Here is a 27,063-nt window from a genome sequence, read left to right on the forward strand (position 1 = left end):
CCAGGGCGTGTTTCATCCCTATCTACAACTGCATAAGGCAGACACCCCCAGAGCGGCCATTTTAGAGATCCCCCTCCGTCCCCCCAGGAATGCATTCTTTTTCCAGGGCTCTTAATTATTAATATTCCTTACTGGGGAAATAATTCAGCGATATTTCTCTTACCCGTTTTCGGCAATAAGAGAAATACGGCTGTGTCCTGCCCGGCTCCCAGGCAGTCAGACCTAATGGTAATCTCCCTTGTTCCCTGAACATCGCTGTTATCCTGTTCTTTTGTCAAGATGCCCAGATTTCATATTGTTCAAACACACATGCTTTACGAACAATTTGTGCAGTTAACGCAACCATCACAGGGTCCTGAGGCAACATACATTCTCAGTTTAAGAAGATGATGGGATTAAGAGATTAAAGACATGCATAGGAAATTATAAGAGTATTGATTGGGGAAGTGATACATGTCCATGAAATCTTCACAATTTATGTTCAGAGATTGCAATAAAGACAGGCATAAGAAATTATAAAAGTATTAATTTGGAGAACTAACAAATGTCCATGAAATCTTCACAATTTATGTTCTCTGTCACGCCTTCAGCCGGTCCCTCCGTTCGGGGTCCCTGACTTCCTGCAATAGGGGCATATTTTAGCATCTTTTTCCGAGGCCTTGTCTGGCATTTCAAGAGTCTTTCTTCATTATTACGGTAGGGACTTTCAGCCATCTTTCTATTCCTGAGAGTCTCTTCAGCTTTGGGCAATTCATGTATTATTTTTTCAATAACTGACTGGGCACAGTGGCTCAGGCCTGTAATTCCAGCAATTTGGGAGGCCAAGGCAAGCAGATCACTTGACCCCAGCGGTTCGAGACCAGCCTGGCCAACATGGTGAAACCCCGTCTCTACTAAAAAATACCAAAAAAAAAAAAAAAAAAATAGCTTGGTGTAGTGGTGCGCACCTGTGGTCCCAGCTTCTCGGGAGGCTGAGGCAGGAGGGCGGCTTAAACCCAGAAGGCAGAGGGTGCAGTGAGATTGCGCCACTGCACTCCAGCTGGGATGACAGAGCGAGACTCCATCTCAAAATCATCATCATCATCATCATCTTCTACCTTTTTTTCTCAGATACTCTTTAACTTCAATTAAACAAATATTAATATCTAGTAAAATATTCATAAATCACTCTATTTTTGTAACACATTCACTTCAAGCTAAAAGCAGTGTAAGGATACACCACTATCTAGACATTTCTCTAATCCAAATTGCTTAGGAATATGTGCCAACAATAGCTTGGAAATCGAGTAACTATGTTTTACGAAAATAAATGGCAATAAGAACAAATGCATTCTTTTCTTTTGTTTCTTCCTAGGCAAGCTAAAAAAAAAAAAAAAAACAAAAACAAAAACCATGTAGATCCCACAGGTGAGTTATTTCAAAGTTCATGCCTGACACCCGGCACCCACAGTCTTTAATCAAACAGCCAATGCTATTCTCATTGGCTTCATTAAGTCCGGGAAGAATCCAGGAGATGCCAAAGACACAAAAAACATGACCATACACAGTGCCAACCTTTTAGAAACCATCACAGCCTTTTCTGATGGCCCAGGATGCATGAGACCTCCAAGTCCAGGCTCTCATCCCACTTGTGGGTAGGTAAAGGCAGCTGAGCAACAGGTCTCTCGCAGGACACTCAGAGAGAGAGAGAGAGAGCGCGCACAGCAGGGCGCCCCTCCCCTCCTCTAGGACCAGGCGAGCTTGGACACAGCTGAATGTGTGAACTCTCATATCAATAAATCAGCGTGACAAGAATGAAACACTGCTAGCTCTGACTCTGTCAGGCCCTTGAGAGGGTGAGATGCGAGGAATGCGGAGCGGGGGGCAGCCCCATCACCCACCCACGAGCCACTCTGGAAAGGCTAAGAGAAGTCACGCTAGGACTCCTTCAGGAAAGGCAAAAGGCAGAGAGAGCCACGATTCTGTCAAAACAGAGCATGTACGGATGTTTAACTCAAACGGAATCCACATTATAACTGTGCATTTACTGCATGCTTCCAGAAGCCGTGAAGTTAGTAACTATTTCAACTGGTGCTTGCTGCTAGAATCACCATCACAACAGCTCTCCACAGAAATGACTTATGTTCATGACTCTGTAGCTGGATCTGAGCACAGAATCTGAGTCAATGCCTCACACCGCTTGTGATTAGGAACCGGGGAAACACTAACACTTGCCTTACGGGCTGTTTTTATACATAATCATTCAACGCAGTTCACCAAATATTGACTTAAGACTTAATTCCACCAGGCGCCAGGATAAGGCTCCTCGGGGAATAAAAAGCCGGCAACGCTCACGTTTGCACAAGCTTTGCAATAAGCCCAGACGGTCTGGCACAACAAACGCTAAGCGTGTGGGTCCAGACTGTCACCCCATGGGCAGAGAAGGGGCCCGCTAACACCACGCGCTGAGGGGGCGCAGGGGAGAGGCGGGAACCCGTGGAGGGAGGCAGCGGCGCAGGGAGCAGGACTGGAGGGAGGCGGGTCCCTGTGGAGCGCAGCAGGAGGAAGGCAGCGCGCGGGGAGCGCCCGGGCGGCCCAGGCGAGGCAGGACGCAGCGCTGACCGGACCCAGGGCTGAAGTCGGCAGAACTGCGGCCAGTGCCCGCCGCGCCCGGGGGAGCGCGCCAGGCCCGCGGGGCCCTAGCCGAGGCCGTAGTAGGTGGAATACGGGGCAGCCACGGAGGAATCGGGGGCGAGGCGCGGAGAGGCCCCGGATGCAGCGGTCCCGCCCCGAGAACGGAGCGCGCGGAACCGGCGCAGGCCTCCGAGGCTTCCAGCCGAGACGGCACCCAGGTTTCCCGAGCAGGGTCTGAGGCTCCAAGGACATCCCGGCGGCGAGAAGGCGCCGAGAGACCTGCCCGGGTCCCGAGCCCCGACCGCAGCCCCAGCTCCCGCCGAGGCCCTGGAAAGGCGGGGGAGACGCGCGGCGGCGCGCGGTCAAATTCCTCAGGCACCCAATGCAGTTCCCGGCTGCAAAAACACGGGAGACAGGAGAGGAGGGAGGGTCTGCAACCCAGGCGGGGCAAGTGCGCCCTCAAGGCCGTGGCGAGCCGGGGCGCAGGACACGGCAAGGCCCCTGAGCCGCCCACGCAGGTTTCCCGACGTTCTCGCAGAAAAGGTAAAGCGGCACCCCGCCCCCAGTTCCGCCCGTCCCCGCCCCGCCCCGGCCCTTCCGCCGCCCCGCCCCGGGCCACCCCACCTCGGCGCCATCCCGCTCTACGCTTAGCCCCACCTCGGCCCCGCCCCCCGGTCCCTCCGCAGGCTCCAGAGGCGCCCAGGCTCCGCTTCCCTCCGGCCTTCCTTAGCGCCGCGCCCATTCTGTAGGCCAGGCTCACAAAGGAGCCTCCCCAGCTAGGGTCAGCTCCTACAACGCCACGGCCCTCCTGGCGCTCTTCCCTTTCTTAGGCCTGAGCACACCGCCCAACACAAGCGTTTAAAAAGCATTTGATTCAGTGAATTACTTGGTAAACCCTGATTACTCAGTGTACTTGCAAAAAGGAAAAGATGTAGCTCAGAAAACAAGCCATTTTAAGAATCTAAGAAGAATGAGTTAAGCAGCAGAGAAGTGGGGAAAGGTAGTAACTACCACAAACTGGAGGTCAAAGGAAACAACTGCTACTGAATAAAAACAATGAAAAGCTGAAATCTGAGCTTCCTGGTGGCAAAAGCAAAAAGGGTATCGATGGGAAATCTCTCTCTTATCCAACAAGAAGTACACGAGTTCATAAGAACAAAATATTTTTCTAGCGCTGAACTCTAAAGGGAATACCTTTCACCTGGAGTTTTACATAACTGCTAGTGACTGCACAATGAATAAGGAACAAGATTTTAAATGACAGTTTTACAAAAACAAGGAAAAAAGGCCAACACTCTCCAGGTCTTTTGATTAATCTGCAATAAAAGATGAATATGAAAAGTGAAACTCCAAGATGATATTTTCCCAGAGAGGTACACTCATATAAACTAGGTGAAGAGCTCACGTATGATCTTTTTTTTCTTTTTTTGAGGCGAATTCTCGCTCTGTTGCCCAGGCTGGAGTGCAGTGGTATGATCTCGGCTCACCACGGCCTCCGCCTCCCCAGTTCAAGCGATTCTCAGGCCTCAGCGTCTCGAGTAGCTGGGATTACAGGTACATGCCACCACACCTGGCTAATTTTTATATTTTAGTAGAGACAGGGTTTCGCCATGTTGGCCAGGCTGTTCTCAAACTCCTGACCTCAGGTGATCTGCCTGCCTTGGCCTCCCAAAGTGCTGGAATTACAGGCGTGAGCCACTGCGCCTGGCCTCACCTATGATCTTGACTTGATGTAAGGTAAGCATTTCCAAAACCTAACGGACTGATCAATTCCTGTGTTCCCTGAACGAGGCTTTCAGATGCTGGCGGTGCCCCCACACCCCTTGTCTCCTCCTGGAGGTGTCTGGCAGGAGCAGGAAGGTGCACCACCATGCAAGCTGCCAGCACTGTGTGCCACTGGAAAACCCAGGGAAGAGGCATGTTGGGGGCACTGCGGACATTTTCTTCTAAAAATTACATGGCTGGACTTGTTTCCGGCACCGTGGCATAGGGACACACTGTCGTGCTGCTGGGAAGGTGCCCAGCGTCCCCACAGTGGTCAGCTGGGTCCAGAGTCCTGTAATGCGGTCTACACAGGAGAAGACGGACGTAAGCGGTATTTTGAGCACAACGTGCTTATCCCAGCTGCCCAGAGGAATGTCCACATCACTGTAATAGACTCTGTAAATTCATGTAGGGCAGTGTTCCTACGACGCGCCAGGACCGTGAGCAGAAGAGCGTCCTGCCAGATAAGTGAGTTCGCCTGCTAAATGTGGCTGTGTAGCATTTTCCATGGAGACTCTGCCAAAAAGGACAACTTTCTTCTGGCACAATCTATAGTGGGTTGTTCTGTCACTAACAGGCCAGAGGTTTACTGGCTTCTGGAGAGCAAGACGCAACCCCACGTCAACAAGAGGAGGAGTACGTGCATGTTTCTGTCTAGAGCCAAGACCCATTAACCCAGGTGGCAGAGGTCCCAGAACCACATCCAACACAATGCCATTCAAGACTTCCCACAGCCCGTCTCCTTCCACCTGTTCCTGACAAGCTGTGAGCCCAAAAGCACCCACAGTCTGTGCTTGTCACATTCAGAGATTACCCAAAGAACACAGACAAGACAGACTGAGACAAACTGCTGGTACTTAGGTCTTCCTGTCCTGGCTTTTGGGCACAGGTCTGCCTGTCTTCATAAAAAATACACACAGGCCCTAATTGATATGGTCAGTGAGCACTAAATCTCCATTTATCACAAGGCAGTAGCCAGGTACCCAGGACAAGACAAAGGGCAGGCCCTCAGCCTGTTGGAACCGGGACCGGCAGACCCAAGGGCGCAGCAAGTGCCGCTGCGGGGGCCTAGATGGCCTCCGGGAGGGTGGAAACCAAGTCTCAGAGGCCGGGCAGCCAGGAGGGGCCAGACTGAGGGCTAAGCACCAGGTATGCCACCCCTGCCTGGGCGACAAGGCCCTGGGCGGCCGATCCAAGTTGCTGTGGGGATGCCCCGGCGCAGAGCAGGGCTGCGCAAGGTCCTGAGTGTGAATGCCCAGGGGGCCTGGTGCCAGGCACAGCAAAGGCAAAAACAAACAGCACTTTCCTCTGCAGCTTCCTGGGAGTTGACGTGTGGGCCCCACGTGTTCAAAATGAAAGCCAGTGACCTGAGTGCTTCCAAGAGAGACCACGACAACAACGTTGGCCGTTATTTTTCCAGCTCCAGTTCTCACCTCTGTGCTTAAAACTGCAACCAAAAAAGCTCAAAGGCTCTTCCTTCTTGTGTGCCGTGTTCCCACACTGACCTTGGAGGGTCAGAGAGAGAGGGGTCCCATCCTTGCTTCTCCTGGCCTCTGGCTCCTGAGGGCCCTGGAGGCTCCATCGGCTCTGCAGCTGCAAGGCTGTGCTTGGGGCTTGCTCTGGGCATTTTCTCTTTCATTTTGAAGAACAAAGGTAGGAAACACAATTAGAGGGTGGGCTTTGCTGTCTTTTTCCCAACTTTACCATTTCAAGTCACTGGCGCCTGGAGAAGGTGGCAAGGGGGCCCGGGCAACAGGAAAGGAGTGACTCCTCAAGGGCTCCTGGACACGTGTCCTCAAGAAGCAGCTTGTGAAGAGAAATGCCTGTCTATGTGGTGCAAGTATCTTTCCACTTCCTGTAAGAACACTGCTGTAGCTCAGTCCTGACACAGCCTGTCTGGGAAGCAGTGTTGGCTCATGGCCAAGCGAGCCTTCTACCCTGGGGTCCAGCACAGGCCTGTCCTGGGAACATGAGCAGCATGGACAACGCGGTACAACGGGGCGAGAGCGCCAACCGCGGACAACAGGAAGGGCGTGAGTGAGGGCCAACGCACTTCCTTCTTGGACAGATTAAGTACGCAATGAAGCATATTCACCCAGAGGAATTTATCTTCATAAGAACGCACATTTTCTAGTTAAATAATCTATCTATCTAATAATTGTGTTTCAAAGATTTTCAACAGGGCTTGAAAGGATGAATCCATTATTCCTTAGTTATCTCATTTTTGTTTTTATGGTTTCTGATCCTTTAATTTAGGAAGCCAGAAAGACAAAAGCAGTCAAAAACCACATTTTGTTGATATTCAAATTAATTAATGTTTATAATATAGAGTTTCTTAGTTTATATTGTTACAAATCATCTAGGTACAACTTTTATTTGAAAACTCTAAATTCCTCTTGTGCACCTTAAAAAAGATCAACGTGAAGTGAAAAACAACTATTTCCCTTTTAAGGTAAAAAGTATATGGGCAACTTCAGCTTTTCCATGCTCAACAGTCAACCGTATTAAGAGAATATTGTATATTCTTTCATTCGTACGACATGCAACAACAATAGGAATTATAATAATTTTTTCCAAAAGACATTCGAAATAAGGTATTTCCTTGATTACAGATTTGATGTACAATGTCAGAAATTCTGAAAAACTTGGAAAATCAAGAAAATAATATTTTGCTAAACCAAGACAAGTACTGTTAACAATTATTTAATGGTATTTAATATGTATTTAGTTCCAGGGTACTCCTAAAGCATTAACAAACATGGGCTATAGTCATATTCCCACTTTCAATCTCCTCCATATGAAGTCTTTTTTCCTGTCATTACAAGTCTTTTAAGCATCACTTTTCACGGCTATAAAATACAAAGGTACACCATGTGGTTCATTATACAGTGTAACAACATGCTCACCCACCCCCCAAGTATGAATTTAGATAAAGGTATTACAATACCAGAAAATTGGGAAATACGAGCTTATCTGCAAAGATGTCTACCTTTCCTCCCACCCAGCATTTTACCTTCTGTGTCATCCCCGCTGGAGGCGTTCTCGGGGCTCCCACAGCTGCTGGGCTCCGGCCAACAGGGGACGTAGCCCTCAGGAGGCCCGCTGGCAGTGTAGAGCCGTCGGGCAGTCGGGGTCTCAGAGCCAGTGTCTGCAACACAGGAGGAAAATAACAGGAACTGGTAAATATCACAAAATGCAGTCATTTATTTGCCTTGATTACATCGGCATTGTTTCTCTAAATTCATTCAAGACATGAAATCAAAGAGCTCAATAAAACCTAACCACTGTCATAAATACTGATTTTAATATGTCAAGTATTGTGCCAGAAAAGCAGGTCAGCTACACACCCAGCCAAGAAAAAGGAACTGCCCATGATTGTTTGAATTCACATGAAATTACTTATTATGCAAACTTCTGGGTTTTTGTAACACAATACAAAAACATAACTAATTCATGAGTATAAAGCAGCAAAATATAAACAGTTTGCACGACACACCCTTTATCATCACACGAGGAGTCCCTGGGGATTTCACTGCACAGACTTCTGGGTCTTTTTCTCCACACGTGCTAACAACATGTGTACACTGTGGCTGTGTGCACACACAGCCACACACACAACAGACACACATGCAGACACACAAACATCCACAAAACACACAGAGACACACACAGATACAAACAGACACAGAGACACCATGCACAGCCACAGACCACACACACAGGGACAACAAACACACACAGACACAGACATGTACAGAGACACACAGAGAGATACACAAATACACAAGCACACACAGACACACATACATCTTCAGGAGATCGTGTCACATACTTTATTATTATACACATATAAGTTATACATTTGTATCTTACATGTAAAATATAATTGAGTGAATACAGTGTGTTAAAATGACATATTGTAACTTAAATCTGCATACTTTTAATGGCTACATCATATCCCATGCGATGGAATTATAACCAGGACTTAACCACTTTCCTCAATGGCCATGTGGAGCTGACCAGAGGTCGTCGCCACTGCAGACGGCTGCTGGAACCTCCCCGCTGTATGCTCCTCTACCAGAGGTCGTTACCACCGTGGACAGCTGCTGGGACCTCCCTGCTGTGTGCCCCTCTGCATACGGAACCTCCCCTGCTGTGTGCCCCTCTACCAGAGGTCACCACCACCGTGGACGGTGGCTGGAACCTCCCTGCTGTGTGCCCCTCTACCAGAAGTCATCACCACCGTGGACGGCGGCTGGAACCTCCCTGCTGTGTGCCCCTCTGCGCACGGGACCTCCCCTGCTGTGTGCCCCTCTACCAGAGGTCATCACCACCGTGGATGGCTACTGGGACGTCCCCTGCTGCACGCCCCTCTGCGCACGTGGCTGTTTGGTTCCTGCACAGGGATCTGCTGGTTTAGGGGGCAGGTGCTTTTGCCCGCTTTTCATGCACACTGTCTGGAAGGTAGCAGGGCCACTTCCTCTCAAACTGTCCGACACTGGGCAGCCTCTGTCAGTTTAGTCTTCCTTTTTTCATGCAGAATATGGCAGTGATGCTCTTGCACGTGACAAACACAAGTGGACATCCCAGCTGGGCTTTTACCAAATGATGTGCATTTGATTTTGAAAACAACAATGACAGGTATTGAGCAAAATCACAACCACACAGAACAGAATGTAGCTGTAAAAACCTTGAAGCCTTTTCAGGTTCCACTGTAGTCAACACACTTTGCTCTCTCGAGGGTAGGGTGCCGGAATCCTAGTTCTTAAACTAATCTGATTCACCGCAGCTGATTAATTACTATGTCATTCCCTGCCGGAGCCAAGGGCAGATGGAGATGGCTTCTAAGTACACTGTCCCCTACTGGGTAAATCAACATTTGATCATTTTTCACAGAATATTTTTGGAAGCTTTTAATCAGCTAAATCTTTCTTAGTAAGAAAGTTAAACAGAACTTAGAAATGTCATTGTTCACTTAATCATTAGGATGGACACGGGAGGGATCAGGGAACACTCAATGACTCATGCAGAGCAAACAAGGATGCAGCTAAGAGGACGGGTCCAAAACGCACCGCGCCAGGGAGACAGTTCCGGTCTGTGGGGTGACCGCGGGCCAGGGCTGCACTTCTAAGCCGCAAGTGGCACCTCCTGCGACAGTCACAGGCACCACGCAGACAGGAGCACCACGAGGGGCCTCACGGCTTGCTCGTCTGTGAATCACGGTGACCATGTAACCCATAATACCTTCTGGTTCTAACTTTTTATATTCTTTTGGGTAATGTATGGTTTACTGTGAGGACACTTACGCCTTGCACAAGTTGAACGTTACATGTCTTGATCAGGTGCAAGGAAGAGACCGGTTACACTTTATGGGGTGGGCGGCAGCGAGAGTTCCCCGTCCCATCATCTCCTCCGCCGGACGCACAGAGAATGCAGCGTCTGTGAGCACAGCTGCCCTGGACCTGGCATCTAAGAGTCAGGGTCAGAGAGGGGCAGTCAGAAACCCACCTCCCTGCTGGACAAGTCACAAGCACCAGCATCCCTCGGGAAAGGCAGAGGGGCGTGGTGGCTCGGAGCCCTAGGGTGATAGGCGGTTGGCTGCCCTGTGGGTTTCACCAGTGTCACCTCTTCGCAGGTGTCATTGACCTGGCTCCTTTCTCCCCGTCAGGTTCCCCTCAGCTCCTCTGGGCTGCTCCTGGCAGCCGACAGCTATGGAGGGGCTCACAGCCAGCCCCTGGCCCACTTCAGGTGAGCACTGGGTACCACCCAGCCCTGTGCGGAAGGGACCCTCATCCGTTCCCTCCTGGCTCTCCCACCATCTTTCAAAGCTCCGCCTCCCTCTCCCCACAGCCCTTGCCCTTGCTTCACCAGGAAAATAAAGAAATCAGAGAAGACTGCCACAGGTACCTGCACACCATGACGGCTGTGAGCAAAACCTGCATCTGACACAGATCCTTACGCCGCTCACCTGGCAGAGGCCAGCCATCCCTGCCTCTGAGAGAGCACAGCAGCTCCCGCCTCCCTCCCTCTCCTCTCCTTCCTCCCCATCAGCCTGCACCTGTGCTTGCTCCTCTCGCCCTCCACTCCTCTCCTTCCTCCCCATCAGCCTGCGCCTGTGCTGGCTCCTCTCGCCCTCCACTCCTCTCCTTCCTCCCCATCAGCCTGCACCTGTGCTTGCTCCTCTCGCCCTCCACTCCTCTCCTTCCTCCCCATCAGCCTGCACCTGTGCTTGCTCCTCTCGCCCTCCACTCCTCTACTTCCTCCCCATCAGCCTGCGCCTGTGCTGGCTCCTCTCACCCTCCACTCCTCTCCTTCCTCCCCATCAACCTGCACCTGTGCTGGCTCCTCTCACCCTCCCTTCCTCTCCTCCCTCCCCATCAGCCTGCACCTGTGCTCGCTCCTCTCACCCTCCACTCCTCTCCTTCCTCCCCATCAGCCTGCACTCGCTCCTCTCACCCTCCACTCCTCTCCTTCCTCCCCATCAGCCTGCACTCGCTCCTCTCACCCTCCACTCCTCTCCTTCCTCCCCATCAGCCTGCGCCTGTGCTGGCTCCTCTCACCCTCCACTCCTCTCCTTCCTCCCCATCAACCTGCGCCTGTGCTGGCTCCTCTCACCCTCCCTTCCTCTCCCTCCTCCCCATCAGCCTGCACCTGTGCTGGCTCCTCTCACCCTCCACTCCTCTCCTTCCTCCCCATCAGCCTGCACTCGCTCCTCTCACCCTCCACTCCTCTCCTTCCTCCCCATCAGCCTGCGCCTGTGCTGGCTCCTCTCACCCTCCACTCCTCTCCTTCCTCCCCATCAGCCTGCGCTCGCTCCTCTCACCCTTCACTCCTCTCCTTCCTCCCCATCAGCCTGCGCTCGCTCCTCTCACCCTCCACTCCTCTCCTTCCTCCCCATCAGCCTGCGCTCGCTCCTCACCCTCCACTCTTCTCCTTCTCCACTCCTCTCCTTCCTCCCCATCAGCCTGCACTCGCTCCTCTCACCCTCCACTCCTCTCCTTCCTCCCCATCAGCCTGCGCTCGCTCCTCTCACCCTCTCTCCCTCTCCTTCCTCCCCATCAGCCTGTGCGCGCTCCTCACACCCTCCCTCTCCTTCCTCCCCATCAGCCTGTACTCGCTCCTCTTACCCTCCACTCCTTCCTCCCCATCAGCCTGCGCTCGCTCCTCTCACCCTCCACTCCTCTCCTTCCTCCCCATCAGCCTGCGCTCGCTCCTCACCCTCCACTCTTCTCCTTCTCCACTCCTCTCCTTCCTCCCCATCAGCCTGCGCTCGCTCCTCTCACCCTCCACTCCTCTCCTTCCTCCCCATCAGCCTGCGCTCGCTCCTCTCACCCTCCACTCCTCTCCTTCCTCCCCATCAGCCTGCGCTCGCTCCTCTCACCCTCTCTCCCTCTCCTTCCTCCCCATCAGCCTGTGCGCGCTCCTCACACCCTCCCTCTCCTTCCTCCCCATCAGCCTGTACTCGCTTCTCTCACCCTCCACTCCTTCCTCCCCATCAGCCTGCACCTGTGCTTGCTCCTCTTACCCTCCACTCCGCTCCTTCCTTTTGGAGCCCTCGGTGGGGATCTCCTGTCCTCAGGGTGACTTCCCTCCCAGGAGGCAGCTGGCCTTACCACTTGCTGCACGTGCTAGCAGGGCTCTCTGTATATACACAGATGGACACATATTCTTCTTTCCTCTGTCTTTGAAATGAATCCAGCAGCGAACTCTCGTGGCCTCTTGCTTTTCACCCATGGCCTGTCTTGGTGCTGAGGCTCCCGTCCATCCTGACAGCTGCAAATGGCCCCAGGGGACAAGGCGGACACCACTCACTCTCCAGCCTCCTGCCAGCGCAGGCACAGGCTTGGGCTTGTCTCTTCTCTGAACAGCGATGGAGAAGCCGGTGCAACGCCGACCCCACGAGCAACTGAATCGGCAGGAAAAAGTGCTGGAGGCAAAACCAGGGCCCACGATGCAACTCCGTCATCCTGCTGCATGCCCACACCTCAGGGGTGCTGCCAGGGTGCCCAGAAAGAAGCTTGGCTCAGACTCCCAGTGACAGGCCTGCAGGTCCCCAGCCCCAGGCGACCCCTCCTCCTGCCTCCCTGTCAAATCGTCCCCTCACCTGGCACGGAGCTGGAGGCCTGAGGGTGGGTGAGGGGTCAGGGCAGGTTCTACCAGCTCTTCGCCATTTTGGTCTCCCTGCCTCTGCCCACCCCGCACAGTCCTTGTGGAACCACACAGCCCCCGCCCCCGCCCCCTCAGCCACCCACACAGGCGCCCCTCTCAAGAGGGGAGGGACTTCAGCTGTCAGCACAGCAGGTTTTCCCTGAGCAGATTCGGGACATGCAGCAGCAGCAGCACGTGGGTCTGAGAGACACAGCAGAGTGCGTGATAGGTGTGGGGTGACCTGGGCTTGAGCCCCTGGGAGAGGCCATCCCTGAGACGAGGAGTGTAGGGACCAGGAGCTTTGTTGTGGGGAATGAGGCAGCTGCCTGATGGGCTGCAAGGGACACAAATCCCTGCGTCTGGGGCTGGGCCCAGGTTGGAGAGCTCACGGGGGCCACCGGCGTGTACCTGTGACATGGAGCCCTCGGACCCGGGGGTGGGTGTAGAGAGGAGGAGGTGGAGGCATGCGCTCTGCGCCCGCCGCCTGCCCCCGTGCAGGGGTTGTGGATCTGAGTCAATTTAACATACAGCCAAAGACAGAACGCTTTAGTATTTTAATGCATCCTGTAAACTACCCTCCAGAAAGGCCATCCTAAATCATATTCCTTTTCTTTTTTTTTTTTTGAGGTGGAGTCTCACTCTGTCACCCAGGCTGGAGTGCAGCGGCTCGATCTCCGCTCACTGCAACTTCTGCCTCCCAGGTTCCAGCGACTCTCATTCCTCAGTCTCCCGAGTACCTGGGACTACAGGTGTGCACCACCACGCCCAGATAATTTTTGTACTTTTAGTAGAGACAGGGTTTCACCATGTTACCCAAGGTCGTCTTGAACTCCTGACCTCAAGTGATCCTCCTGCCTCGGCCTCCTAAAGTGCTGGGATTACAGGTGAGAGCCACCGTGCCCGGCCCTGAATTACATTCCTGCCAGCAATTTATGAGTATTCATTTTCCTCAATTCTCAATGACAAGGTGGTCATTGAAAAATTACACACTTCTGAAAAACATTTTTAAAAAATTCTTTTAGAGACAGGGTCTCACTCTGTTGCACAGGTTAGAATGCAATGATGCGATCATGGCTCACTGTCTAGAGCTCCTGGGCTCAAGCAATCCTCCCTCCTTGGCCTCCTAAAGTGCTAGGATTACAGGCGTGAGTCACTGTGTTTGGCCTGAAAAGTCTTTTGTCCATTTTGCTGGAAAAAGTGCTGGAGGCAAAACCAGGGCTCACGGTGCACCTCCGTCCTCCTCAGGTAGGATGCCACGAAGTAGCATCCTATGGTTGTCTCTGTGAGTTTTTTTTTTTTTTTTTTAACCAGGGAGGCTCTCCAGGATCATCCTGCAGGGGAACTGCAAGTGCCAAGCACAACTGCTGTGCGTGCTCCAAAGTCTCGGCTCAGCTGTGGCGGGAGGCTCAGTGGAGCCCAGGAGCTCAGGGCCGTGGGTGCCAGGACCATGCCTGAAAAGAGCACCGCACTACGGCCTGCGCAACACAGGGAAACCCTGTCTCAAAAAACCCCCCAAACCCACTAAATATCAGCTCAGAAACTCCCCGTGCATTTGGCTCCATTCTACAATATGGTCACAGTTACCCTGATACGAGATGTGTAAGGCTGGTTATCATCAGGAACGAAAGAAAAAGGTATTTCCCACCTGCATGGATAACTGGCAAAATGCTACCGGGGGGAGCGCCAGCCCCACCAGAGGGCTGGACAGAAGAGTGGACGCCACCCCCGATTGCTGTCCCAGCGGCCTTCTTCTCTCCTGGTACCACGACATTTCAAGTAATTAGATCTGTATCAATGCGAGGCCACAATCACAGCAACTTCAAGTGAAATCAGTGTAAAATCCAAGGACAAGCACGAGCACAACAATGCTGCCTGGTATCTCCGCTGGGCGCCGCACCCAGACCCTCCCCACCCCTCAGGGTGACGGCGACTCACAAAAGCAGGCGTTCCAGAGAAGGAGGACGGCTTCATTTCCCTCCTATTTTCATCATATTTAAACAAGCTCCAGCATCCAAGATCTCAACACGCGCGTGAAAGCACACACAGGAGCACGTACAGACCCGCACACGTGCACAGACTCACACAGGCGCACAGACCCGCACACGTGCACAGACTCACAGGCGCACAGACACGCACACGTGCACACTCACACAGCCGCACAGACCCGCACACGCGCACAGACCCGCACACGCGCACAGATCCGCACAAGCGCACAGACCCGCACAGGCGCACAGACCCGCACACGCGCACAGACCCTCACAGGCGCACAGATCCGCACACGCGCACAGACCCGCACAGGCGCACAGGCCCGCACAGGCGCACAGACCCGCACACGCGCACAGGCCCGCACACGCGCACAGACCCGCACACGCGCACAGACCCTCACAGGCGCACAGACCCGCACACGCGCACAGACCCTCACAGGCGCACAGGCCCGCACACGCGCACAGGCCCTCACAGGCGCACAGACCCGCACACGCGCACAGACCCGCACACGCGCACACACCCTCACAGGCGCACAGACCCGCACAGGCGCACAGACCCGCACACGCGCACAGGCCCGCACAGGCCCGCACACGCGCACAGGCCGGCACAGGCGCACACACCCGCACACGCGCACAGGCCCGCACAGGCCCGCACACGCGCACAGGCCCGCACAGGCGCACAGACCCGCACAGGCCCGGACACGCGCACAGACCCGCACACGCGCACAGGCCCGCACACGCGCACAGATCCGCACACGCGCACAGGCCCGCACAGGCGCACAGGCCCGCACACGCGCACAGGCCCGCACAGGCGCACAGGCCCGCAGACGCGCACAGGCCCTCACAGGCCACAGACCCGCACAGGCGCACAGACCCGCACAGGCGCACAGGCCCGCACACGCGCACAGGCCCGCACAGGCGCACAGGCCCGCACAGGCGCACAGGCCCGCACACGCGCACAGGCCCGCACAGGCGCACAGACCCGCACACATGCACACGCCTGACAGCTCCAGTCAGTCCTCACTATCCAGCTTCCAAGCTACAACTTATCACAGCTGTTTTATGTGCAGTAAAATGTCCCACTGCCTTGTGGCTGCTCGGAAAAGGTGCTCAGCGGTGGGAGGTCCTGCCCCATCGGATGGCCTCCTCCATGCAAATGTGGTTTGCTGTCTTTCACAGACTCTTAATCAGCTATTCAGAGTCTTGGGAAAATATTCCTTTATCAGAGGCTTCCAGATGGCAGATAAGAGGAAAAACTCTCCTGAAAAATACTTAACAATGCCAGATAAAACACAGCAAACCTACCTTCAATGCACAGCCCAGCTCTCAAGACAAGGGCAATCTGGCCCAAAAATGACAGAGGAAAAGCAGCCGAGAGGAAGTGCAGGTGCCAACCACGCTGCGTGCAGCATCACGGACAATGTGAATTGTCCCCAAATCATCCACCAGTGACACAAATGCAAACACATTTTCAAGATTTTTTTTGCTGCAACTTGACCTGATTTTAAACACACATGGCCAAGGGCCAAGAAGAACAGAGCAAGGGCTGGAGAAGAACCAGGTGGACGGGTCTGCCCCGCCAGACGGGAGCACACCGTACCCACGGGTCTACCCTGCTGGACGGGAGCACGCCGTACCCACGGGTCTACCCTGCTGGACGGGAGCACGCCGTACCCACGGGTCTGCCCCGCCGGACGGGAGCACGCCATACCTACGGGTCTGCCCTGCTGGACGGGAGCACGCCGTACCCACGGGTCTACCCTGCTGGACGGGAGCACGCCATACCTACGGGTCTGCCCCGCCGGACGGGAGCACGCCTTACCCACGGGTGTGCCCTGCTGGATGGGAACACGCCGTAGGATGGGAGCATGCTGTACCCCAGAGCAGCTGGGAGGCTGAGCCACAGACGCAGGCCCAGGACAGAGCCGCTGCCACAGGGAATGGCCCAGGACAGAGGGCTGAGGAAACTGCAGCGTCAGGTGAGCAACAGAGTCGGACCACCACCTCACACCAGACAACAACTGCAAGAGCAAACACTGTCTATGATACGTGTATTTTTTTGCAAAAAAGCGTAAAATATCTTTGTTATTGAGGTAGATTTTAGATAAAGATTTCTTAAACAAAACACAAAAACTATGAAATTAAAGATGATGTCACATTATATCAACTTCTAAACAATGGAAGACACTGACGTTTTTAAAAATGAAAAGGCAGCCAGGCGCGGTTGCTCACGCATGTAATCCCAGCACTTTGGGAGGCTGAGGCAAGCAGATCAAGAGGTCAGGAGTTCAAGACCAGCCTGACCAACATGGTGAAACCTCGTCTCTACTAAAAATACAAAAATTAGCCAGGCATGGTGGCGGGCGCTACTCGGGAGGCTGAGGCATGAGAATCGCTTGAACCTGGGAGGCGGAGCTTGCAGTGAGCCAAGATTGCACCACTGCACTCCAGCCTCGGTGACAGAGCGGGACTACATCTCAAAAAAAAAAAAAAAAAAAAAAAGGAAAGGCAATCCACTGAGAGAAGGTGTTTGCTGGGCTTTGAAGCATCTAAAGAACCCCGGAAATTGGTAAGACAAGCTCCGCAGAAACACGGGCAAAGGCAGATGGCCAGGAGGCGTGAAAGGCTGTCCAGTTTTGTTAGCTTGGTAGCGTGCATTGAATAAGAAACAGAAACCTCACACTCAATTAGCGAGACTGCAAACACTCTGTATTAACCGGGGCCTGGAGAAACAAGAACGCCGGCGAGTCAAGTGAGCACACAGCGGCACAGCTCCTTTAAAGACACGCTGGGAATCTGTCCCTACGTTGAAATGTACAACCAGCACCTCTCTAGGCACACACCCCAGGGAAACTCCCTGAGTGCAGACACACAAAGACAGCAGAGAAAGATGCCAGAAAACACAGGAGCAGGCACCTCCCACCTCCAGCCAAGACGGAAAAGTCTTGAACAGACACTTAGAAGAAGAAATACAAATGGACAATAAGCACAATCAAAAGCTAAACATGAAAGAGGCCGACAGTGCGCCACGTGCTGCAGGATTCACTCTCACCACACTCAGCACCAGGTTCCGTGACAGGCGAAGGTCGCAGCTCGGCAGGAGGGTTTGCATGTTGTGTGGGAGCGACACTGGTGCCCTCAGCTAACTGCCAAGACCCGCCAAAGTGGACCCTTTCGGCCAGCACAGCCTTGGTGATGGACGCAGAGGGGCAGGGCGGAAGCCAGAAGGCAGGAGCGAGAGCTGGATGCCCCGGGAACCAGATGGAAGCCTGTCTCCGTCCTTGCTGCTGAGGGTAGCAGTGGGTGTCCTACCCAGGACAGGTACCCCGCACGCCTGGGGTTAGCTGAAGGAGGGCCCAAGAAGCTGCAGAGAGCCGGAGGCCCAGAACTGCCCACACCACCCAGGCAGGCAGCAAGTCTGCAACAATGCACATGAGCTGCGTGAGCTTTCACCTCCAGGAGCTGGAAACTAAAAGGGCTTACGTCCACCTTCCGAATTTCAGGCAGAAGGGCCTCTCGTGTCCCCCTGTAACCAGGAGCATTCGGGGAGGGAACTGTGGGAAATGCAGTTCAGCACAGCCAAATGCACAGAAATGAACCCATCCTATCTGTTAATGGCACGTCAGTAAGATACAGATGAAGGTGCAGGACAGACCAAGTGCACACACCCCATCCTCCTCCTAAGGCCCCACCAAAATGAGAATAAGTGGGTTTGCAACACACAGAGGACAAATGAAGGACAGATGAAAAAAATACAGTGTTGGAAAGTGAAAAGTAGACGGGATGCTGAATCCTAGAATGGCAGCCGAGACACAGCAGACACGAGATCTGCTCCAGAGGGGCCGCCAAGGAGCCTGGAAGTGGGGAGAAAAAGGGGGGCAGGCAGGCTGTGGAAGCCTCCCCACCACCCGTGGGAGACCGGGACTCACTCTCTGCAAAGGCCAGGCCTGGCTCCCAGGAGCCCCAGGCACCATAACTGAAGGCAAAGACTCCATAAGATAAACAGGGAGGGAGAGCCTGTCCATAGAGAGTGTGAGAGACCCTTCTTCTCCTCCTTCCCGCTCCAACTCTGAGACGCAGTGACAAAAACGAAGGGTGCAGCCGGAAGGGTGGAAGATGAAATTTGAGAAAATCTCCCAGAAAGTGGTCTCAAATCACTAAACCATAAAAAATCCGGGAGAAGATGTAAGAAAAAGGGGATCTATTGGGAGACTCAATGTCTGAATGACAGGAATTCTGTAAACCGAAGATTGAAAGCAAAGAGGAGGAAACGATCAAGGAAACAAGAGAGTGGCACATGTTCCCAGACTACGGAGGCCACGACAGATGAAAACAGACCATGCTCAAGACCTCAGCATCAGGCTGCACCCACATGAAGGCCAGAAGCAGAACCTCAAACTGTCCTAAGGGAGGAAAACTGCTCATAGCCACAGGAATCGAGAATGATGGCAACTGCCTTCTCACAGCGACACTGGATGTTAAAGACTTCCAGTGTGAAAGACAGTTATTAGCCCAGAATCCTACACCCCGAAAAACTTTTAAGTACAAGAATTAAGGTATACTTGACCTTCAAGATCTCTAAAATATTTATCTCCCAAAAACCATTTTTCAGGAAGTTACTAACGAACGCATTTCAACAAAATGGAAGCAAACCCAAGAAATGAAAAGACTGAGGCCCAGGACAGCAAAGGAAGCCCCCGGGAGAGGTGAGACCGGGAGTTACGGCAAGGACTTGGGGGCGGCCCATGCTGGGGGTGGAACAGTCTGGAAGAGGCCACGGAAGATGAAGCTCATTGACCCTGAATGTGTCTGACCATAGAACAAGGACAGGGAGGTGAGGGGAGAAATTAGTACTATTAAGTATTTAGAAGAAAATGTAAAAATCCAAGAAAACTATTAACTCTACTAAAGCTCTGCTCACTCCACTAAAGGTTTCACAAAACGGAATAATCGTGTGTTATGTGACTCAGCAAGAAACGGTGTTTACGGAGACATAAACATGTAAACAATACTGATGTACAAACATTTTGAAAAAATCATATTGGAAGGACGGGGGTTGTAAAAAATGTGCATCCATGGTGGGGGAAGCTGCTAAAAAAAACCAAAATCCTTAGTTTCCAAAGTCAATACATAAGATTTAATCCCTTCCCTCCCTGCCAAAAAAGAAAGAAAAAGAAGAAGAAAACAGGAAGCAACAGTGTAAGTGCGTGACTCTGAAAGGGGGGGTGGTTTTACCCAGGAGCAGCCACTGCAGAGCTGGAGGGTGTGTGACTGGAGTGATGGGCAGAACATTGCTGTTTTTAATAATAATTCCTGAGAATTATTTGAATCTAAAATATATGCAACACATAACTGACAAATTTAAAAAAAAGTTCAATATGGGCTCTTCAGTGAAAAAAGTTTACCAAAATGCACATACACCAGTTATTTTGGTTGTTGACAAATCAGTCTTATCTTTGGGACAAATGGAATTATCAACACTCTTCTAGAACCAAAGAAACAGATCGTGTGAAGTGAACAAATATCAATCAATTGGCTAAATCATTGCCATAATTACCATGCTTTGACCTAACCGTACAAGAACATTTTCCTCCGTCTCATGTCCAAGGACGGATGTGGGCACTGTTCCTCATCCGGCTGCCTCCTGTCCCTCACAGAGCGCCACTCGGCCCAGCCCTGATATCCAGCAGGACTCCTCCTGGACGTGCATCTCAACGGACACTGCGCGATGGCCCGTGCAGAAGTGACCCACGGTTCTTACGTTTTTTATTGTGATTTCATCATTTTACCCCCGGCCAAGACTTCTCTTTTTCCAGATGCAAGTAAATTATAACATTTTTCCTTTAACATTTCCAAGGCACAGCACTTCAAAAATATGTTGTTCATGATTAAAAAAAAATCAATAAACTGGGCATAGAAGGGAACTTCTTCAACATGATAAAGGCCACGTATGAAACCCACAGCTAACATCATACAGGATGGTGAAAACAGGGATGCTTTCTCCTCAAGATCAGGAATGAGACCAGGATTCCCACTCACGGCACTTTTTGTCAACATCGTATTAGAACTTCTAGCCAGGGCAATTAGTCAACAACAACAACAACAAAAGGAAGCAAAGGGCATCCAGACTGGACAGGGAAAGTACAACTATCTTTACTCACAAAGGAAAAAGTAAAACTACCCGAAATCACAGATGACAGCATCTTGCACAGTGATGTACCACAAAAGACACTGGTGAAAGGCTGGCCGCATGGGGGACGGTGGAGCCTTAAGATAATGCGGACCCTGAAGATGGTAACACTGCACTTTCACCGTACGTTTTTAATGTTTGGATGCTGAAAGGCTGGCTGCATATAGGACGGCGGACCCTGAAGATGATAACGCTGTATTTTCACCGCACCTTCTTAATGTTTGGATGCATGAACACTCACCATGGTGTTACAGTTGCCACTGTCTTCAGCACAGGCATGTACTGATTGGGCGAGCAGCCTGGGAGCAACAGGCTGTGCCACACAGCCCAGGCCTGCAGCTGGATCCACTGTCTAGTGTGTGTAAGCGCACTTTGCTCACACAGCAATGGACTCCTTTGGAATGTATTACCGTTGTTAAGTGATGTGTGACTGTACATAGAAAATCTAAGAAATCCACAACAAAAATGTAAGAGCTAATAAACTAGTTAGGCAAAACCGCAGGATACAAGGTCAATACACAAAATCCCTTGCATTTTCACAGACAAACACTGAACATTCCCAAAAGAAAACAAACAAAAAAGAAAGCAATTCCACTTACAATAGCACCAAAAAGAATAAAATACTTTGGAATACACTTTTTAAAAAACGGTAAAACTTTTCTACGTCCTGTAAGTACTGGAAGGAAAAATATAAAAAAAGATAAGGCCAGGCGCAGTGGCTCACGCCTGTAATCCCAGCACTTTGGAAGGCTGAGGTGGGCGGATCACCTGAGGTCGGGAGTTCGAGACCAGCCTGACGAACATGGAGAAACCCCATCTCTACTAAAAAAATACAAAAAAAATTAGTCGGACGTGGTGGCACACGCATGTAATCCCAGCTACTCAGGCTGGAGAACTGCTTAAACCCAGGAGGCGGAGGTTGTGGTGAGCCAAGATCATGCCATTGTACTCTAGCCTGGGCAACAAGAGTGAAACTCCATCTCAAAAACAACAACAACAACAAAAAGATAAAACTGCACTCTGAAAACTACAAAAGATGGTTGAAAGAAATTAAAAAGAACTTAAATAAACAAAAAGACATCCTAAAGCTAGGGACTGGACAATGTAATAGTGTTAAGAAGACAATACTGCCCAGTGTTCTACAAACTCATGCAATACCCATCAAAATTTCAAATGATTTTTTTTTGCAGAAATTGACATGCTGATCCTAACATTAATATGGAATTGCAAGAGACCCTGAGTCTTGAAAAAGAACAAAGTTGAGGGACCCACACTTCTCAATTCAAAACTTAGTACACAGCTACAGCAATCAAAACAAGATGGTGGATGGTACAGACATGGGATGGACATACATCAATGGAATAGAATTGAGAGTCCAGAAATAAACCCCACATCTGTGGCCAACTGATTTTTTTTGTTTCTTTTTTTTTTTTTTTTTTAGACAGAGTATCACTCTATCACCCAGGCTGGAGTGCAATGATGCGATCTTGGCTCACTGCAACCTCTGCCTCCCGGGTTCAAGCGACTCTACTGCGTCAGCCTCCCAGGTAGCTGGGACTACAGGTACCTGCCACCATGCCTGAATAATTTTTGTATTTTTAGTAGAGATGGGGTTTCACCACGTTGGCCAGGCTGGTCTCGAACTCCTGACCTCAAGTGATCCATCCACCTCAGCCTCCAAAGTGCTGGGACTACAGGTGTGAGCCACCGCACCTGGCTGCCAACTGATTTTCAATGAGTGCTAAGTCCACTTGATGGGGAAATGATGTCTTCCACAACTGGTGTTAAGACAATTGGATATCCACATGCAAAGGAATGAAGTTGGAACTCTACCTCACACCATACACAACATCAGCTGAAAACGGATCAAGGACCTACACATAAGTGCTAAAACTATAAAACTCTTAGAAGAAAACCTAGGCATAAATCTTTGTGGCCTTTGATTAGGCAATGATGTCTTAAATATGATATAAAAAACACAGGCAACAAAAGAAAAAATAGATAAATTGGACTTTATCAAAATTAAAAACTTTGGGGCTTTAAAGGATACCATTAAGAAAGTGAAAAGATAACTCATGGTATGGAAGAAAATATTCGCAAATCAGGTATCTGATGAGGACTCAGTATGGAGGATGTACAACCAATTCCGACAACTCAGCAACAGAAAGACAATCCAATTAAAACTGGGCAAAGGACGTAAGCAGATATTTCTCTAAAGAAGATACACAAATGGACAACACGCAGGGAAAGATGCTCAACATTCTCAGTCATCAGAAAAATGGAAAACCACAATGAGATACCACTTCACACCTCCTAGGGTGGCTATTATCTAAAAAAAAAAATAGAAAATAAGTGTTAGTGAGCATGTAGAGAAACTAGAACCTTTGTACAATGCTGGTGGACATGTAATATGGTTCAGCTGCTGTGGACAAGAGTCCGGCAGTTTCTGAAAAAGTTAAACATGGAGTTACCATTTGACCCTGCATTTCCACTCCTAAGTATAAACTCAAGAGAATCGAAAACATACGTCCACACCAGGCCACACAAGAACATGTGCATGGATTCTCATAGCAATGTTACTGACAATAGCTAAAAAGGAGAAACAACCAAACATTCATCAACTGATGAATGGAGAAACAAAATGTGGTCTATTCATACAGTGGAATATTATTCAGCCTTAAAAAAGAAAGTTAGTTCTGACCCATGCTACAACATGAATGAACCTTTAAAAAATTATGCTACATGAAAAAACCCAGACACAAAGGGTCATATGTTGCATGATTCCATTTATATGACATGTCCAGAACAGACAAATCTATAAAGAAAACAGATTAGTGGTTTCCAGAGGCTAGAGGGAGTGGGGAATGGGGGCTGAGTGGTTACGGGATAATGAGTTTTTTTTTTTTTTTTTTTTTTTTTTTTTTGAGACAGGGTCTCACTGCATTGTCTAGGCTGGAGTGCAGTGGCACAGTCTTGGCTCACTGAAGTCTTGTCTTCTCAGGCTCAAGTGACCCTCCCACCTCAGCCTCTTGAGTAGCTGCGATATAGGTGTACATCATCATACCTGGCTAATTTTTGTACTTTTTGCTAGAGATGGGTGACTCGCCATGTTGCCCAGGCTGGTCTCCAACTCCTAAGCTCAAGTGATCCACCCACCTCAGCCTCCCAAAGTGCTGTGATAACAGGGTGAGCCACTTTGCCCGGCCAAGTGTTTCTTTTTGGTGTGGTAAGAATATTCTGGAATTAGATGGTGGTAATGGAATGGTTGTACAACAGTGTCAATATACTAAAAAGCAGTAAATTGTATACTTTGAATTGGTTGATTTGAAATGGTAAATTTGAGGTTACCTTTCTGGGGTGCAGCCTTATCTATCTCTGCCCTTGTGACACGACCTGATCATCACAAATTCCCTTTTAAGCCAGGGCCAAGTGGTTTTGGTTGCTTGTAATTGAAGGGTCTAAATTGTCCAAGCAACTGACCCAAGGGCATCAGACTTGACAGACCAGAGTCTGAACCCTCAGAAATCACATGTGAGACCATGTCACCGAGGGAACCGAAGCAGGGGCAGCATCTGCACCCTCACCCTGGGGGGTTCAGCCCTCAAGGGCCATAGCCTGTTTCTCCGTGTGCCCACCAATCCTGATTCTGTATTGGCACCTCCACCTGGACACGGCTCCAACTGTTCAGCAAAAGGCTCGTGCACCCAACCTTCTCATTTGCTCCCTGGAAAAATAATCTTTTACCCTTTGAGACTAGGTCAACTCACATCAGTATTTTGACTTTTAATTCAACATCTTCATATTAAAGAGTATCTTACAGATGCCACTGAAACGAAGTGGCTGAATGCTGAAGCTTTGTGAAAAGACGTCACCCAAAGGATCACCAAAAACTTCAAAGGCCAAGTGCTTTGTCAGACTCAAATGGACCCAGCCACTTAAAAGTGAAAAGCCAATCACTTTAGGCAAGAAAATATATATCTTCTAGAATGAAACTGGCCTGGAATTTACAGATATTATTTTTTCACTTAGGAATGATCCATCATCCATCCATGCATACAGCTTCAACTGCCCCACCTAATTTCATCTTCCTACCACCAGATATGTTACTGGTAAACAATCACCGTTAAAACTTTAGGTAGGTTAGAACAAAGAAAAAGTAAATCGACCTTAAAAATACAATTTTAAAAAAGATTAAAAATGTTGGTTCAGTAAAATTCAGAGAAAAACAGGAAATGTTAGGGATGGCCTGCTTCTTGTAAGGCATAACAGTGCACATGCTCCCCATTATCATCACCGTCAGAGCCGTACATTCTTATAATCAATAAACCTACGCTGACACACGTTGCCACCCCGGTCTGCAGTTTACATTGCGGTTCACTCTCGTACATCCTGTGAGTTGAAGCAAACGCAGAATGAGATGCGCCCACCATGACAGCATCGTACAGGGCAGTTTCACCGTCGTGCAAATCCTCTGGGCTCCACCTGCTCCTCCCAGTCCTCGGCATCATACAGGGCAGTTTCACCGTCCTGCAAGTCCTCTGGGCTCCACCTGCTCCTCCCAGTCCTCGGCATCGTACGGGGCGGTTTCACCGTCCTGCAAGTCCTCTGGGCTCCACCTGCTCCTCCCAGTCCTTGGCATCGTACGGGGCGGTTTCACTGTCCTGCAAGTCCTCTGGGCTCCACCTGCTCCTTCCAGTCCTCGGCATCGTACGGGGCGGTTTCACCGTCCTGCAAGGCCCCTGGGCTCCACCTGCTCCTCCCAGTCCTCGGCAGTCACTGATCTTTTTGGGGTCTCCTCAGTTTTGCTTTTCCACAGTGTTACAGAGTTGGAATTGCAATGTGTAGCCTTTTCAGATCGGTTTCTTTCACTTACTAATAAGCATTTAAGGTCCCATCATGTCTTTTCATGGCTTGACAGTTCATTTCTTTTTAGCCCTGAATAATTTTCCGTTGTCTGGATGTACCACAATTTGCTTATTCATTCACTTACTGAAGGACATCTTCGTTGCTTCCAAGTTTCGGCAGTTATGAATAAAGCTGCTATAAACATCCATGTGCAGGTTTATTGACGTTTTCCATCTATTTGGATAAATGTCAAGGGGCATAACTGCTGGATCCTACAGGTAAGAGTATGTTCAGTTGTGTAAGAAACTACCAAACTGTCTTCCAAAGTGGCTGCCCTGTTTTGCATTCCCATCTGCAGTGATGAGAGTCCTTGTTCCTCCAGCATTTGGTGTTGTTAGTGTTCTGGATTTTGTCCATTCTAGTAGGTATGTGGTGGTGTCTCATTGTCTTAATTTGCATTTCCCTGATAACATATGATGTGAAACATCTTTACATAGGATTATTTGCCATCTACATATTTTCCTTGGTGAGGTCCACATCTTTGGCCCATTTTCTTATTAAGTTTTAAGAATTCTTCAAACATTTTGAGTAACAGTCCTTTGTCAGGTATGTCTTTTGAAAATATTTTCTCTAAGTCTGTGGCCTGTCTCTTCATTCTCTTGACAATGTCATTCGCAGAGCACAAGATTTTAATTTTAATGATGTCCAGGTTATCAACTGGACATCTACTTATCAATTCTTTCTTTGATTGATCAAGCCTTTGGTGTTGTAGCTAAAAAGTCACTGCTGAACCCGAGGGCACCTAGATTGCCTCCCAAGTAATCTTCTAACCGTTTATAGTTTTGCATTTTACACTCAGGTGTAAGATCTTTTTTTTTTTTTTTGAGATGGAGTCTTGCTCTGTCACCCAGGCCGGACTGCAGTGGCAACATCTCAGCTCACTGCAACCTCTGCTCCTGGGTTCAAGCAATTCTTCTGCCTCAGCCTACCGAGTGGCTGGGACTACAGGCGCCCGCCACCATGCCCAGCTGATTTTTTGTATTTTTATTAGAGACAGGGTTTCACCATGTTAGCCAGGATGGTGTCGATCTCCTGACCTCGTGATCCGCCCATCTTGGCCTCCCAAAGTGCTGGGATTATAGGTGTGATCCACCGCGCCCAGTCCAGATCCATTTTTAGTAAGATTTTTTTGTGAAAGGTTTAAGGTCTGTGTCTATATTTTTATGCATGTGGATGTCTAGTTGTGCCAGCCCCATTTGTTGAAAAGATCATTCACTGAATAGCCTTTGTTTGCTCCTGTATCAAAGATAAGTCAGTGGTATTTATGTGGGTCTATTTCTGTACTCTCTATTCTGTCCCATTAATCTATGTGTCTACTCTTTTGCCAAAAATACGCTGTCTTGATTACTGTAGATTTCTGGTAAGTAACTCTTGAAGTCATGTAATGCCAGTCCTTTATTTTGTTTTTCTCCTTTAATATTCTGTTGGCTATTCTCAGTCTTTTGCGTCTCCATCTAA

At 50.1% G+C, this 27,063-nt stretch overlaps 1 protein-coding gene and 1 long non-coding RNA gene across 30 annotated transcripts in view, besides 3 other annotated features; both read right to left on the reverse strand.

Moving 5' to 3' along the window:
• ERICH1 (glutamate rich 1) overlaps positions 1–27,063 on the reverse strand; it is a 116,479-nt gene that overhangs the window by 70,342 nt on the left and 19,074 nt on the right. For all 29 annotated transcript variants that reach the window (XR_007060715.1, XR_007060714.1, XR_007060710.1 and 26 more), the window contains exon 3: positions 7,391–7,525. Coding sequence is in view for 17 of the 29 variants with exons in the window: in XM_047421403.1 (XP_047277359.1) it covers positions 7,391–7,525 (135 nt within the window). In the remaining 12 variants the exon portion in view is untranslated. The remainder of the gene's footprint in view (positions 1–7,390; positions 7,526–27,063) is intronic.
• Positions 2,592–3,246: an enhancer, noted in NCBI's record as "H3K27ac-H3K4me1 hESC enhancer chr8:637679-638333 (GRCh37/hg19 assembly coordinates)". NCBI's record gives its function as "activates a minimal SCP1, AML or CMV promoter by ChIP-STARR-seq in naive H9 embryonic stem cells {active_cell/tissue: H9 hESC(naive)}" and the evidence as "EXISTENCE:reporter gene assay evidence [ECO:0000049][PMID:30033119]".
• Positions 2,826–3,085: a silencer, noted in NCBI's record as "silent region_18879". NCBI's record gives its function as "represses an Ori minimal core promoter by ATAC-STARR-seq in GM12878 lymphoblastoid cells {active_cell/tissue: GM12878}" and the evidence as "EXISTENCE:reporter gene assay evidence [ECO:0000049][PMID:35858748]".
• LOC124902054 (uncharacterized) lies at positions 8,188–12,553 on the reverse strand. The gene is made up of 2 exons (XR_007061163.1): positions 11,903–12,553; positions 8,188–9,846 (listed from the first exon to the last, which is right to left on the reverse strand). It is a non-coding gene; the product is annotated as an uncharacterized LOC124902054 (long non-coding RNA).
• Positions 12,892–13,411: an enhancer, noted in NCBI's record as "H3K4me1 hESC enhancer chr8:647979-648498 (GRCh37/hg19 assembly coordinates)". NCBI's record gives its function as "activates a minimal SCP1, AML or CMV promoter by ChIP-STARR-seq in primed H9 embryonic stem cells {active_cell/tissue: H9 hESC(primed)}" and the evidence as "EXISTENCE:reporter gene assay evidence [ECO:0000049][PMID:30033119]".

Source organism: Homo sapiens, chromosome 8 (genome assembly GCF_000001405.40).
Source record: "Homo sapiens chromosome 8, GRCh38.p14 Primary Assembly".
Classification (NCBI taxonomy): Eukaryota; Metazoa; Chordata; class Mammalia; order Primates; family Hominidae; genus Homo; species Homo sapiens.